This window comes from Homo sapiens, chromosome 13 (assembly GCF_000001405.40).
Source record: "Homo sapiens chromosome 13, GRCh38.p14 Primary Assembly".
Classification (NCBI taxonomy): Eukaryota; Metazoa; Chordata; class Mammalia; order Primates; family Hominidae; genus Homo; species Homo sapiens.
The window spans coordinates 77,060,924-77,073,991 of NC_000013.11; the positions used below are offsets into that span (position 1 = coordinate 77,060,924).

The window sequence follows — 13,068 nt, forward strand, 5'->3', positions numbered from 1 at the left end:
TTCCAGAGGTTAAGTGACTTGCTCGACACCACACAGCTAGTTAGTGGCAAATCAGGTTTCTTGACTTTTGGTCTAATGCTCTCTTCACCATAGAACACTCTATATATTTAGTAAATATATAGATCAATGATGTCATAATTAAACATCAGAATATCACTCAAAATTATTCACAGTTTAATCAGTTGGCACGGTTTAATCTTTTTTTGTGGGTTTTAAAGGCATGGCTCAATCTTTAAACCTTTTACCTGTGTGTTCTCGGAATTCCACCATTGCCTTCATTGTTTTAGAATCTGCCAGTGCCATCAACCAGAACAATTTGGTTCTACCACAACCTTCATGAAGGTCAACCTTTATAGCTTCTTCTTCTTCTTTGAAGACCTATTATTTCATTAAAGAACAGGGAAAAATATGCTTATTTATCACTCTGAAAGGGAGAGTATAAAATTTAATTATTCAATAATAATAATGGCTTTCATTTAAGCACTCTAAGAAGTTTTGAATATTTCCAATCTTCTCTTTAATCTTCACAGCAGTCCCTTTTTTATAAATGGAGAAATTAAGTGTTTCTAAGGATAAAACAACTTGCTATTTATAGATGGTAAGCGAGACAGCTGTGAACTCAACCAAGGTCTTTGATTCCAAAGTCCACTTTTTCCCCCTACTACACAAAGCCTCTTTCACACATTTATTTCAAAATTCACTGAACATATTTTATGCTCCAGAGACAAAAATCTTCACCTGTCTTTGATGAGTTTTGGTTCTTCGATGAAGGTGAAGGAATCTGTCACAGTCTGTACATAAATTTCCACAGACATTGCATAAAATGATTGCTGCAGTTTCACCATCATCATGGTTATCACACATAGGCTAAAATAAGACATTTCCACGTTACTTAGATTAACAAGCAAGTCTCAGACTCTCATACAAATTGAATATAATTTATTTACAAAAATAAACCGTTATTCGGAAGTCTATTAAGAATTTAGAATCTGAATATTAAACAGAATTATTGCAAATGTACTTAACTATAAAAATCTCTCAAAACTCCAAATCCAATCATTAATGTGCTTTGCAGGTTCAATGATTAATACAATGAACAGGTATACTTTGTTACTTAGAGACTTAAGAAATGTCTGCCCCATTATATATCTAAACATTCTGTATGCCAAAGGAAGAAACTGTTTATTTTTGAAACTTGAACATTAATAAGAAAATGGTGAAAGGGCCTATATAAAGTTTTCCTTTCTAGTGAACTTAAAGATACCCATCAAACCTACTTAAGTATATATGTGAACAGGTGGTGTGTCATGTTGCCTGTGTTATTGCTTTATTTCCTTCCTACCATAAGACTGATTACATTTTAGTAAAATATCTAGTCACTAAATCAGACTCTGGCTAAAAATAAATTTTGATATGATGCAAACATGACTCAGAGAAGAAGAAAGCTCTTTAATATACTTAAATAAAAGCCCCTAAAGTTTCCATATACTATGAAGTAGGGACTCTCTGAAATAGACTTGTGAGATGAACTTGGCCGAAGGGACACAATCTTTCAAGAGATCCACTAACTGTTTATGTTGATGTGTTTTTTGTTTGTTTGTTTGTTTTTAAGCTAAGCTAAAGCTTACTGTAAAGGAAAGCAAGATAAATTCTTACAAAATTCTGATCTTACCATTTGTTTTTGTTGTCCATCCTTTCCCATCCATCTCCCCGAGGAGAGACGATCTACGTGGTCCTGATCAAGAACACATAGGGATGCGAGAGCAAGCCAGAGCTGTTGAAAGGGAAGGCTGTTACACCACTGAATTTTTAGGAAAGACTTATGAAATGCTGACTGTGACACATCACAACAGCTCAATAAATGCTGGCTGATTTTGAAAATACATAGATACTCAGTGGCACTCAAGTCTTCCTGATGTGGTAGCAGGCATACACGATCACTGTCCTATGTGCCATGCACACAGGAGGCACTCAGATATCTACTGAACAAGTGACTGTTTCTCTGATGAACCACCCTGTCTTCTATCTGACAAATAAAATTATCCTTTATTGGTCTACTATGTAAACAACATATGAATAAATGAATTGGCATATTTAATATTTACTACTAATGTCTTCTGAATATTTTTCCATTTAGTATCATTAAATGCCAAAGAAGGTGGTACAGCAACTGCTAAATTGTGTACAGTCCCATGAGTAGTCAGGTACACATTAAATCCTTCTAGATAATAAAAGTTCCTCAGAAGTCTTTGTTGCCCCTTGTTGCCCCAGAAAGCCTAATACTATACTTGGTGCACTTTGTCAGAAATACATACATGTCTAAAAGCTTTAGAAAACTGTTCTCCAAAATAGGGCCGGGCACAGTGGCACATGCCTGTAATCCCAGCACTTTGGGAGGCCAAGGTGGGTGGATCACCTGAGGTCAGGGGGTTATGACCAGCCTGACTAACATGGTGAAACCCAGTCTTTACTAAATACAAAAAAAATTAGCCAGGTGTGGTGGTATATGCCTGTAATCCGAGCTACTTGGGAGGCTGAGACAGGAGAATCGCTTGTACCTGCAGGCGGAGGCTGCAGTGAGCCAAGATCGTACCATTGCACTCCAGCCTGGGCATCAAGAGTGAAACTCTGTCTCAAAAAAAAAAAAAAAAAAAAAAAGACAACTGTTTTCAGAAATAGTTAAAAATTTCTGAGGCTTAAAGGGTAAGCTTCAGTTTTATATAGAATGATATATCCCCTCATTAATGAAGAATAGAAAATGACTTAACTAGCTCAACTCTAAGAAGTGCATGTGAGTGTTATTGGATACAGAAAGCAAGAGATGTTAAAATAGGGACAGAAAAATAGAAAAAGAAATAATGCATGCAAGGAGGAAGGGGAATGCAGACTGAAAGAAAGCAACACATGAGTGGTAGGAAAGGATTACTGTCAAAAATACCTATTTCAGGTGTCACAGTCAATAATAGCAAGATAGCATAAATTGACTTTTTCCGCCCTAGGGATATATAGTTTATCTTCTTCAGATTTCTGAGGATTAACCTAAGCAATTTTTACCAGCATTCACTTCTTCCTAACGTTGTCAGACTGCCCTCCTTCAAGGAAATCTCAAATCTCTTCTGGAAGTATATGGGACATGAAATCTAGCAGGTTAAAACTTACTATAAATGTGTCATCTGAAGAATGCAATCTCATTTCCTCAAAGATTTCCACCCTGACCCTGCCCTGGACAAGCACTTCTTGCTTTTTAGAAGTAAGACCTATAAATCCTGTAAGTAAGTTACAGGGCTCTACATTAGGAACAACCAGGCATAGGCAGGGGTCTTGTCTCCAAAGGACCTTCGGTCTATCACAGCATAATGCTGGCACTAAACTTACTGTGGTAAACTACAGCAAACAGATCATTAGAAAGACAACACGCAAACAATGTACAATGTAATTAGCCTTTTCTAACCAGTGTACCCTTGGCTTCCTAAACAATAACAAAAACAAGTGACACAGAACACATAACAGTGAGAAGTAACGACTAGTTCATAATATAAAAGCCCTTTATACTTTTTCAATAAATACGGTATTTGGTTAAAAAATAATTATGTTGACTTAGTGATTAAAATTTGTTTAAATCTATTACTAAAAAAGAACACGCAATGATACACACCAAATTTAAAACAAAACAAAACAAAGCAAAACCTACTCTAGTTGTTGCAATACATCTCACTGGAGACCTAAATTCTTCTTCCATCTTGGTCAAGGCAATGATGGTTTCTGCAATAGCATTTTTTGTCACTCGGGACCAAGCTTCTGACAGATGACCCTATTGAGCAGAACAGAGTATTTTAATAAGTGACCAGAAATGTATTACCATAGTAAACTCTTTTTTCTTAAATAACATCTCCTATCAAAGGAAATATTTGTTTTTAGTGAGACCATGGAATTTTAGATTATGGGCACAAACTTTTGAACTAAAATTTCTTCGTGATCCTATGGAAAATTCAACTTCTAATCATCATTTTGATATTTAAAAATAAATAAATAAAAAATTAAGTTCTCAATACTCTTTTCCTGGAAATCAAGGGCAATTACTCTCACATCTGATAAAAACATAACAGAAATACTAAGGTTATCTATGTTTGAGAAGTTTGTCACTTAGCATAAAATTTACACAGTGAAGCTAACTGCTTTAGATGAGTATTACAGGAACCTAAAATATAAACAGGTTCAAACTGCAACTACCTTTATTTGCTACCTTGATTTGTAATGAACAAACATTTAACTATCATATAATTTAGGTGTTCCTAAATATTACTCCTAAATATTTTAATTCAATGAACACCCTGAGAAAGTCTGTTTGCCACAGAGGTTGAGAAAATATCCACGCTGTTGGGAAAAGTGATAGAACTTCATCTTTCCCCCAGAAAATCCTCCCACTTCTCATATCCACATGATTTAAGGGGCAGTTCAATTCCTCCTCCTTCTCCAAGCTGCCTTCTATTCCTTCTGACTCTACATTCCATACTATCTTGTCCTTCTCAGGCTGCCCTCCTAGAAATAATACAATGTGTGGAAAATGACAAGGAGCAACTAATCAGAGCCAGGCATTCTGTAAAGTAACTCCCTGTCCTCCACACTCCCAGATCTCCTTTGGAAGCCACCATCTTAAGACAGAGGGTATATGACATTAATAAAGAAGAATAAAGGGTTTAAAAACCATGAGGACTGAGGAGAATGAGAAACTTCCACTTTCGAGAGCTCTCTTCCTCTTTTTTTCCTTTAGGTTTTTTGAATCAAGTTCTTTCTTAGGGTCTGAAAGAGCATATTTTATTTTATTAGATTTTAAAGTCACGTAACAATTCCCACACAAATTAACTGGAAAATTTGAAATGAACATGGTTTACATAAATGACAAATTATCACTCACTGAAAAGACAAACAGCATGATAGTTAACATACTACAAATAGTCTTTAAGTAAAGTTACACTAATCTACATCTCCTATCAATTCAGCAGAGTAAGCTGTTTTGTGTCAGCTTCCTGCCGCACTTCACTGCCAAAACAGAAGAATGGGAACTTACTGCTGCCATATCCTTGATAAGTTTAATGATGATCTCTGAGATCTGGGTAGGGGTTGAGCCCTTCATCCACCAATGACTTTCACCTCGTCGGAGATAACTACAAGAAAAATTAGCACTTAAAAAGCCAATAAATTATCAGTAGTAGTAACAAATGAAAAAGATGAAAATGTTATTTCAGAATGCAGCATTTTAGATTTTTAAGTGACTGAATCAATTAAAACATTTAAAAAGAAAATTCATCAAACCATTACCCCAAATCCCAAGACAGCAGTTAAGGTTATTTGAGTTCCCTTTCAAGTATTTCTCTGTTTGCACATTATTTCTGTGTGCATCTTTTAGAAGTACAGTCCAGGGACCACACACGACTTATTTCTAGGGCACATGCGGATAATGTGGAGCTTAACCGGAATATAAATTCACTGTATCACTAAGCACACTACTATTTAGTTCAGCTGACTTTTTTCCTAGCAAGACTACAGGAAAGAAGTGATACAATGATTAACATTCTGATGTTATCTGCATATTGTCATGGATTGGCTCTACAAGTAGCACTGTTCAGATGTCTCTAATTCTCTACTGTTACACACAATTACAGAACATCCTTGCATATATACCTTGGTGCAAATGCATGAAAGTTTTAGAAGTAGAATTGGTAGGTCAAAAGATATGCATATTTAAAATATAGTTAGATATTATAAACAGATATCCAAAAAGGCTGCAGCAATTTATATGAGATGAAAATGCCTATTTCCTCATAATGTTGCCAAAGCATCAAAGATATTTTGCAATTATTTTAATCTACATTTCTCTGATTAGTAGTGAGGTGTTTTCATTTGTTTACTGGCATTTATAAGTTTTTTTCTGTGAACTGACTACTGGCATTTATAAGTTTTTTTCTGTGAACTGACTGTTCTTGTCATTTATTATTCTTATCAGTTGTTTGCCTTTTTAAAATTGATTTGTAGTCATACTTCTATATTATGCTAACAAGTCATTGTCTATTATATAGGTTTAAGTATTTTTCTAAGTTATTTCCCTATATTTTAAAACATTTAAATATTATCACCTATCAAGTAATTTTCATTTTTATATAGTCAAATCTATAAATATCTTCCTATATGATTTTGGGTTCTGTGTTTTGTTTAAGAAGGTCTTATCAAATTGAAGATTACAAAAATATTCTTCTATAATTTGTCCCAGTACAGTTTTAAAAAGAAATGTACATAAAGCTTTAGTTGACCTGAACTTTACTTTATTCCCCCATATTTATTTCTTTTTATTGTGGCAAAAAAACATATTACCTAAAACTGAAGTTTAATTTTGTATATGGTGAGAGGTAGGTATCTAGAATTTTTTTTAACATGGATATCCAAATATTCTGACATCACATATTCAGCCTACTTTCTATTCCCCACTAATTATAAATGACACTTTTATTATATACATGACCTTTTTAGATATTAGCCAGTTGTTTATGGATTTTATTTGGTGAGTAACCTAACAAGGTAAAATCTGAAATTATGTCTTAAATTTCTGAACAGTAGCTCACTCTATTCTGTTTTGGTACTAAAATAGAGGCAATAACTAACCTGGAATTGAAAATCATCGGAAGAGTAACTGTTGTAACTCCTTTGCCCACAGTGGTACCAGCTGTTCCAGTGATGGTGGTTCCTTTGGCTTTTAGCTGTACAGTGAGTGCTTTGGCAATGCATCCTAGAAACATGTCCAAGATACCCAGCTTATTCCAGTCTCCTTTCTCTGTTGAGTGAATGATATCACTGATATCTGCTGGGGGGAGGGATTTCACTCCTATGATGCTGGCCAGACGACTAGGGGTTACTTCAGGCAAAACTCTTCTTAGTAAAGAGGTTACCTGGTAAGAAAAATAAAATGAGAGAATTCCATGTAAAGACTAATGTTTTAAGGTTTCTTTTATTTCTCTTTTCTTTTTTTAAAGACAGGGTCTTGCTTTGTTGCCCAGGTTGGAGTGCAGTGGAGCAACCACAGCTCACTGCAGCCTTGAACTCCTAGGCTCAAGGGATCCTCCCAGCTTTGCCTCCCAAAGTGCTGGGATTACAGGCATAAGTCACTGTACCCCATCCCAGGCTTCATTTTTTAATGTACCTAACTACCATTCTGTAACTTCAAAATCTTTAAGAAAAGAAATATGATTTAAACACTATTTTACATTTTGTGAAGGAAGAAAATATGATATACATACTATTCAAATGGTAATAGTAGTGGTAATTACTAACCCAAGGCAGCACGAAAAAAAATACCTTTTCTTTCTGGTCAGGGCTAAATGACATTATATATTTCATGGTAATATGGTAATCAGTAGCCAGAATACTCTCTTATCACAACACATTAATAAAATGGAACATATTTTACTATTCTATACTCTCACTATAAACAGTAAAAAAGGGAGTAAAATACAGGCCCCAAACAAAATATAACAAAATACGAAATAAAAATCTATACTTAGGGTCCTTAGATAATTCTCTTTGCATTGCAACTTTTAACAATGTTTCAAGTAACAAAAGCAATGGAAAGGCTGTAGTGTGATCAGTCACCTGTCTCTGGACTCTAGGAGAGGCTGTGTGAAGCAGCGAGAAGAGATCCTGAAGCAGGGTTAGCTGTTGAGCCAGATATTGCCGGCCAACGTTAGAGCCACTCAGTGCTAAAACCATAGAGAGCAGCTCAAAGCAGTAGGCATCAGAGGAGGCATCTTCATCATTTGGCTGAGAATTGGCATTTTCTTTGCTTGATATAGCATGTTCCCATTCTTCACGGACTCTGGTAGCTTCCATGCGAATAGCTTGGACAATATGAGCACACACCTATTTAAAGTTAACACAGAACATGTAAAAATATAGGGTTAGTTTGATTTACTACTCCTAGCAAAACAAGCAAACAAAAGAATAAGACAAGAATGTAAATTGATACTCAATTTAATACTATTCTCCCAGTTAATTCTCCATCATATGTCATTCTCTTAACTCATCTAAGAAACAAGTAAAGCTAAGGGAGCCACAATAAAAATGGAAATATTTAAATCAACTACTATGTGCAAACTGATTATATGCAAGTTATTAATGCCTATGCTTACAGTTTAGCACGTCAAAAACCAATCACCATATTTTATCACTGAAGGCACTTTTTCTCATGGTTTACCATTATGTTCATAAGGTGCTTTATAGCTGATAAGATTCACAATACTGAAATTATACATGACATTTTACAATTGAAAGCATCTAAGATTCAATGAAACACTGCTAGAAAGATAAAGCAAAAATAAATTCATGTTGTAGTTCATTGAAAAGAATAATAGTGTAGAAAGTTAGAATAGGGCTGGGTGCCGTGGCTCACGCCTGTAATCCCAGCAATTTGGGAGGCCGAGGCGGGCGGATCATGAGATCAGGAGATCGAGACCATCCTGGCTAATATGGTGAAATCCCGTCTCTACTAAAAATACAAAAAAATTACACCTGTAATCCCAGCAGTTTGGGAGGCCGAGGCAGGTGGATCATGAGGTCAGGAGATCGAGACCATTCTGGCTAACACGGTGAAACCCCGTCTCTACTAAAAATACAAAAATATTATGCCTGTAATCCCAGCACTTTGGGAGGCCGAGGCGGGTGGATCACGAGGTCAGGAGATCGAGACCATCCTGGCTAACACGGTGAAACCCCGTCTGTACTAAAAAAAAAAAAAAAAAAAAAAAAAATTAGCCAGCCGTGGTGGCAGGCATCTGTAGTCCCAGCTACTCAGGAGGCTGAGGCAGGAGAATGGTGTGAACCCAGGAGGCGGAGCTTGCAGTGGGCCGAGATCGCACCACTGCACTCCAGCCTGGGCAACAGAGCGAGACTCCCTCTCGAAAAAAAAAAAAGTTAGAATAATAGGTTAATTTAAAATCAATATTTTATTTGACTTTTGAAGTGATATTTTTATGTTATGTAGCACCCCATTATATGAACAATATAGCGCTATTTCCTCACCTGGTTATATTTAAAAATATTAACACTGGTATAGTTAACACTGTTAATTGCTCAGCCAACACACAGAAGAATGGGGGAAAAGAAATATGGGAAATGCAAATCAAATCTGATATAGCTGGGTATTTGACACCAAATAAAAAATCTACCCATAACAAATAGCAGCAAGGTAAGCAAGTTTTCATAAGTAAAATCTTTAAAATGATGAAGGTATGCCAAAATACTCATTCCTCTCTAAAAAATGGCAGGCACATTCTGCAGGACCTATAAAAGGGCGAGCATAAAAAAGCCTTCATAAATTTTTCAAAATACTTTATACCAAGCTCATCCAACCTGCAGCCGGGGGACTGCCTGTGGCCCAGGATGGCTTTGAATGTGGCCCAACACAAATTCATAAACTTTCTTAAAGTATTAGGAGATTTTTTTTTCTTGCAATTTTTTTTTTAGTTCATCAGCTATTGTTAGCCTTAGTGTATTTTATGTGTAGCCTAAGACAATTCTTTTTCTTCAAATATGGCCCAGGGAAGCCAAAAGATTGGACATCCCTGCTTTATACCCTAATAACAAACAAACAGACAAACAAACAAACACACACACACACACACACAAAACTAATGAAGACAATGAAATAGCTGTTAACCAACCTGTTTTTGTAAGTTAGTCAGCTTACTCCTGCTGAATATGATTCCAACCATATGTTCTTTCAGGTCAGCATCTGATGTTGCCTTTACATAGAAAAAGAAAAAAAAAAAAAAGAATGAAGTGGTCTCTTTAAATAAAATTTGTATATGTGATATTTCAAAGTAACTTGAGAAATAATTTTGTGTATATATTTTTAAAGTAAATTTATTTTAAATTGAGGCTTATAATACTAAGACAAAGGATAAAGTTTGAAATAAAAAGAACAAAATCTCAGAACTTAGGAAATTCAGAGAAGTATATTCTCCTTTCACAAATTTCTTTAATGTAGTCAATTTGAGTAGCTTTGATTAAATCTATTTCTAAATTGTAAACATTATTAGTTCACATCCCACATTTAATTGTTTGAAGAACAATCCAGGAAAATAACATTTGTTTAAAAGGAAAGTGTCCTAACAAACCTCTGTGATGATAGTGGTCTTAAATTAAGCTATCGGAACACCAAGTCATCAAAGAAATGTATCATAAGGAAAAATATAAAGGCTAAAATTTTATAGAGCTTATTATGTGCACGCTGTTCTTCTAAGTGCCACATATGTATATATGTGTGTGTATATATATATATGCATGCACGTGTGTGCACACGCACACACACACACACACACACACACACACACACACACAAATCTTATCTAATCTTCGCAACAACCCCAGAAGGTAAATTGTAATATTTTGCCTACTTTACAGGTAAGAAAACTGAGGTAAGAAACTCTTTTGTTTAAGAATCAAAAATGATGCTTGGTTTTACATTTCTTAAGATAGAGAGCCAGAAGAGAATGTCCCTTTCGCCCTAACAATGAGGAAAAACCTGATCATCTACAAAACCAAAACTTTTTTTTTGGAGTCCATTAGAATGTTGAGATCAGCTACCAGGTAGAATGAATTCCAAATAAACAAATCCAGTTAGTTGGATACTTCAAAACTCTTCTTTCAGTACTTAACAGAACAAGTAAACAAGCAAAAAACCAAAAACCAGTAAGGCTCTTAAAGACTTGAATATTAAGGCTCTTAAAGACTTGAATATTATTGATCAACTTGAACTAACTGATATTTATAGAACCCCTCAAAGAAGAACAGCAGAGTTCACATTTTTTTGAAGTGCACGTGGACATTCACTAAAACAGACTATATTATAGGCCAGAATCCAAATCTTAACAATTTTAAAAGGACTGAAATTATACGAAGTATACAATACAGTTTGACCACAATGAAACTGAACCAGAAATTAATAATATAAAGCTAACAGGAAAATTCCCAAATATTTGGGAATTAAACAAGGTGCTTCTAAATTACCCAAGGGTCAAAGAAGAAATCAAAATGGGGCCGGATACAGTGGCTCACGCCTGTAATCCCAGCACTTTGGGAGGCCGAGGTGGGTGGATCACGAGGTCAGGAGATCGAGACCATCCTGGCTAACGTGGTGAAACCCCATCTCTACTAAAAAAAATACAAAAAATTAGCTGGGCATGGTGGCGGGCGCCTGTACTCCCAGCTACTTGGGAGGCTGAGGCAGGAGAATGGCGTGAACCCAGGAGTCAGAGCTTGCAGTGAGCCGAGATTGCACCACTGCACTCCAGCCTGGGCGACAGGGCAAGACTCCATTTCAAAAAAAAAGAAAAAAAAAAAAAAAAAGAAATCAAATGGGAATAAGAAAACTAAGAAAACATTGTGAATTGAATGAAAATAAAAACAGAATACCCCAAATTTGTGAAATGCAGCTAATGTAGTGCTTAGAAGAAAATAATAGCATTAAATACTTAGATGAGAAAAGAAAGGTCTTGGAGTCTACGATCTGATCTTGGACCTTAAGAAGTCAGAAAAAGATGAACAAATGAATACAAGGCAAACATAGGGAAAGAAATAAAGTTGTGATTATTAAAAGAAGCAAAAATAGAGGAAAATCAATGAAACAAAAAGCTAGTTCTCTGAAGAGATCAAACTGATGAATCTTTAGAGAAACTATTTCAGAAAAAAAGAATGAAGACACAAATCACCAAGACACATCACTACAGGTTCTACAGATATTAAAAAGACATAAGGGTATATTATGAACAACTTATGGCAATAAATCCAGAAACTTAGATGAAATGGACAAATTGCTTGAGTGTCAGAACTACTAAAGCTTACCCAAAAAGAAACAGATAACTGAAACAGCTCTGTTATCTATTAAAGAAAGTGAATTTTTAGAATAGAGCATTTATTTTGCTACTTAAGTACTAGTTAGATTATATATGAGTCTCTTTTAGATAGTTCTTTCATCTTGTTTACCTCTTTCATCATTTATTTTTGCTTTTTAAAAACATCTTTATTGAGATATAGTTCACATACCATGCTATTCATCTGTTTAAAGCATAGAATTCAATGGTTTTTAGTACATTCAGATATGTGCAACTATCGTCGTCAGTCAATATTACAGCATTTTTATTACTTCTAAAAGAAGCACTATATCATGTAGCTACCATCCCCTAGTTTTTTTTTTCACTGAAGGAAAATGAACTGTATACAAGCTAGTATCACATGTTGACTAAAATGCATAGCAATATATGGATTATCTTACGGAATAAAAGAAATGAAGAAAGAGAAACATATAAAGGTACCACTGTGCTCTTGTCTGGGTGACAGAGTTAAGACCAGGTCTCTTAAAAAAGAATCCATTCTGATAGAAATTCTCAGCAAACTAGGAATAGAAGAAAACATTCTCCAATCTTATTAAAAAGATTCACCCCCAAAAAATCTACAGTTCACATCACACTTAATAATGAATGGTTTATACTTTCTTTTCAAGATCCAGAACAAGTCAGAGCTATCTGTTCTCATTACTTCTATTCAGCATGGCGCTTAAGGGCTTAATCAATGCAATAACACAATAATATAAGAAAAGAAATTTAAGGCATATAGTTTAGAAAGGAAAAAACCCAAATTTATTGAAGACTACATGATTATCTAAGAAAACCCCAAAGAGTCTATAAAAAGTTTCTGAAATTAGTAAGTGAATTTAAGATCACAGGGTAGAAATCTAATATACAAAAGTCAATTCTATTTTTATACACTAGAAATGAACAATTGGAAAGTGAAATAAAAAATACCATTTACAATAGCTTTACAAATGTTAAATGTTTAGGAATAAATTTAATAAAATATGTACAAGATGTGTACAATGAATTACAAAACACTGCTGAGAGAAATTTTAAACAGATGTAAGAAAACCCCTGATACATATCATGTTCACAGATACGAAGACTCAATATTATTGACATGGCGATTCTCCCTAAACTATCAATTTGGTGTTAATTCCAGTCAAAATTC

The 13,068-nt window shown here is 34.9% G+C and overlaps 1 protein-coding gene across 1 annotated transcript in view; it reads right to left on the reverse strand.

Moving 5' to 3' along the window:
- The window catches only part of MYCBP2 (MYC binding protein 2), a 282,438-nt gene that overhangs the window by 16,267 nt on the left and 253,103 nt on the right, over positions 1-13,068 (reverse strand). The window contains exons 69-76 of the mRNA NM_015057.5: positions 9,708-9,788; positions 7,642-7,908; positions 6,658-6,941; positions 5,069-5,165; positions 3,692-3,811; positions 1,673-1,774; positions 739-867; positions 246-378 (exon numbers count right to left, since the gene is read on the reverse strand). Of these exons, the coding sequence (NP_055872.4) occupies positions 246-378; positions 739-867; positions 1,673-1,774; positions 3,692-3,811; positions 5,069-5,165; positions 6,658-6,941; positions 7,642-7,908; positions 9,708-9,788 (1,213 nt within the window). The remainder of the gene's footprint in view (positions 1-245; positions 379-738; positions 868-1,672; positions 1,775-3,691; positions 3,812-5,068; positions 5,166-6,657; positions 6,942-7,641; positions 7,909-9,707; positions 9,789-13,068) is intronic.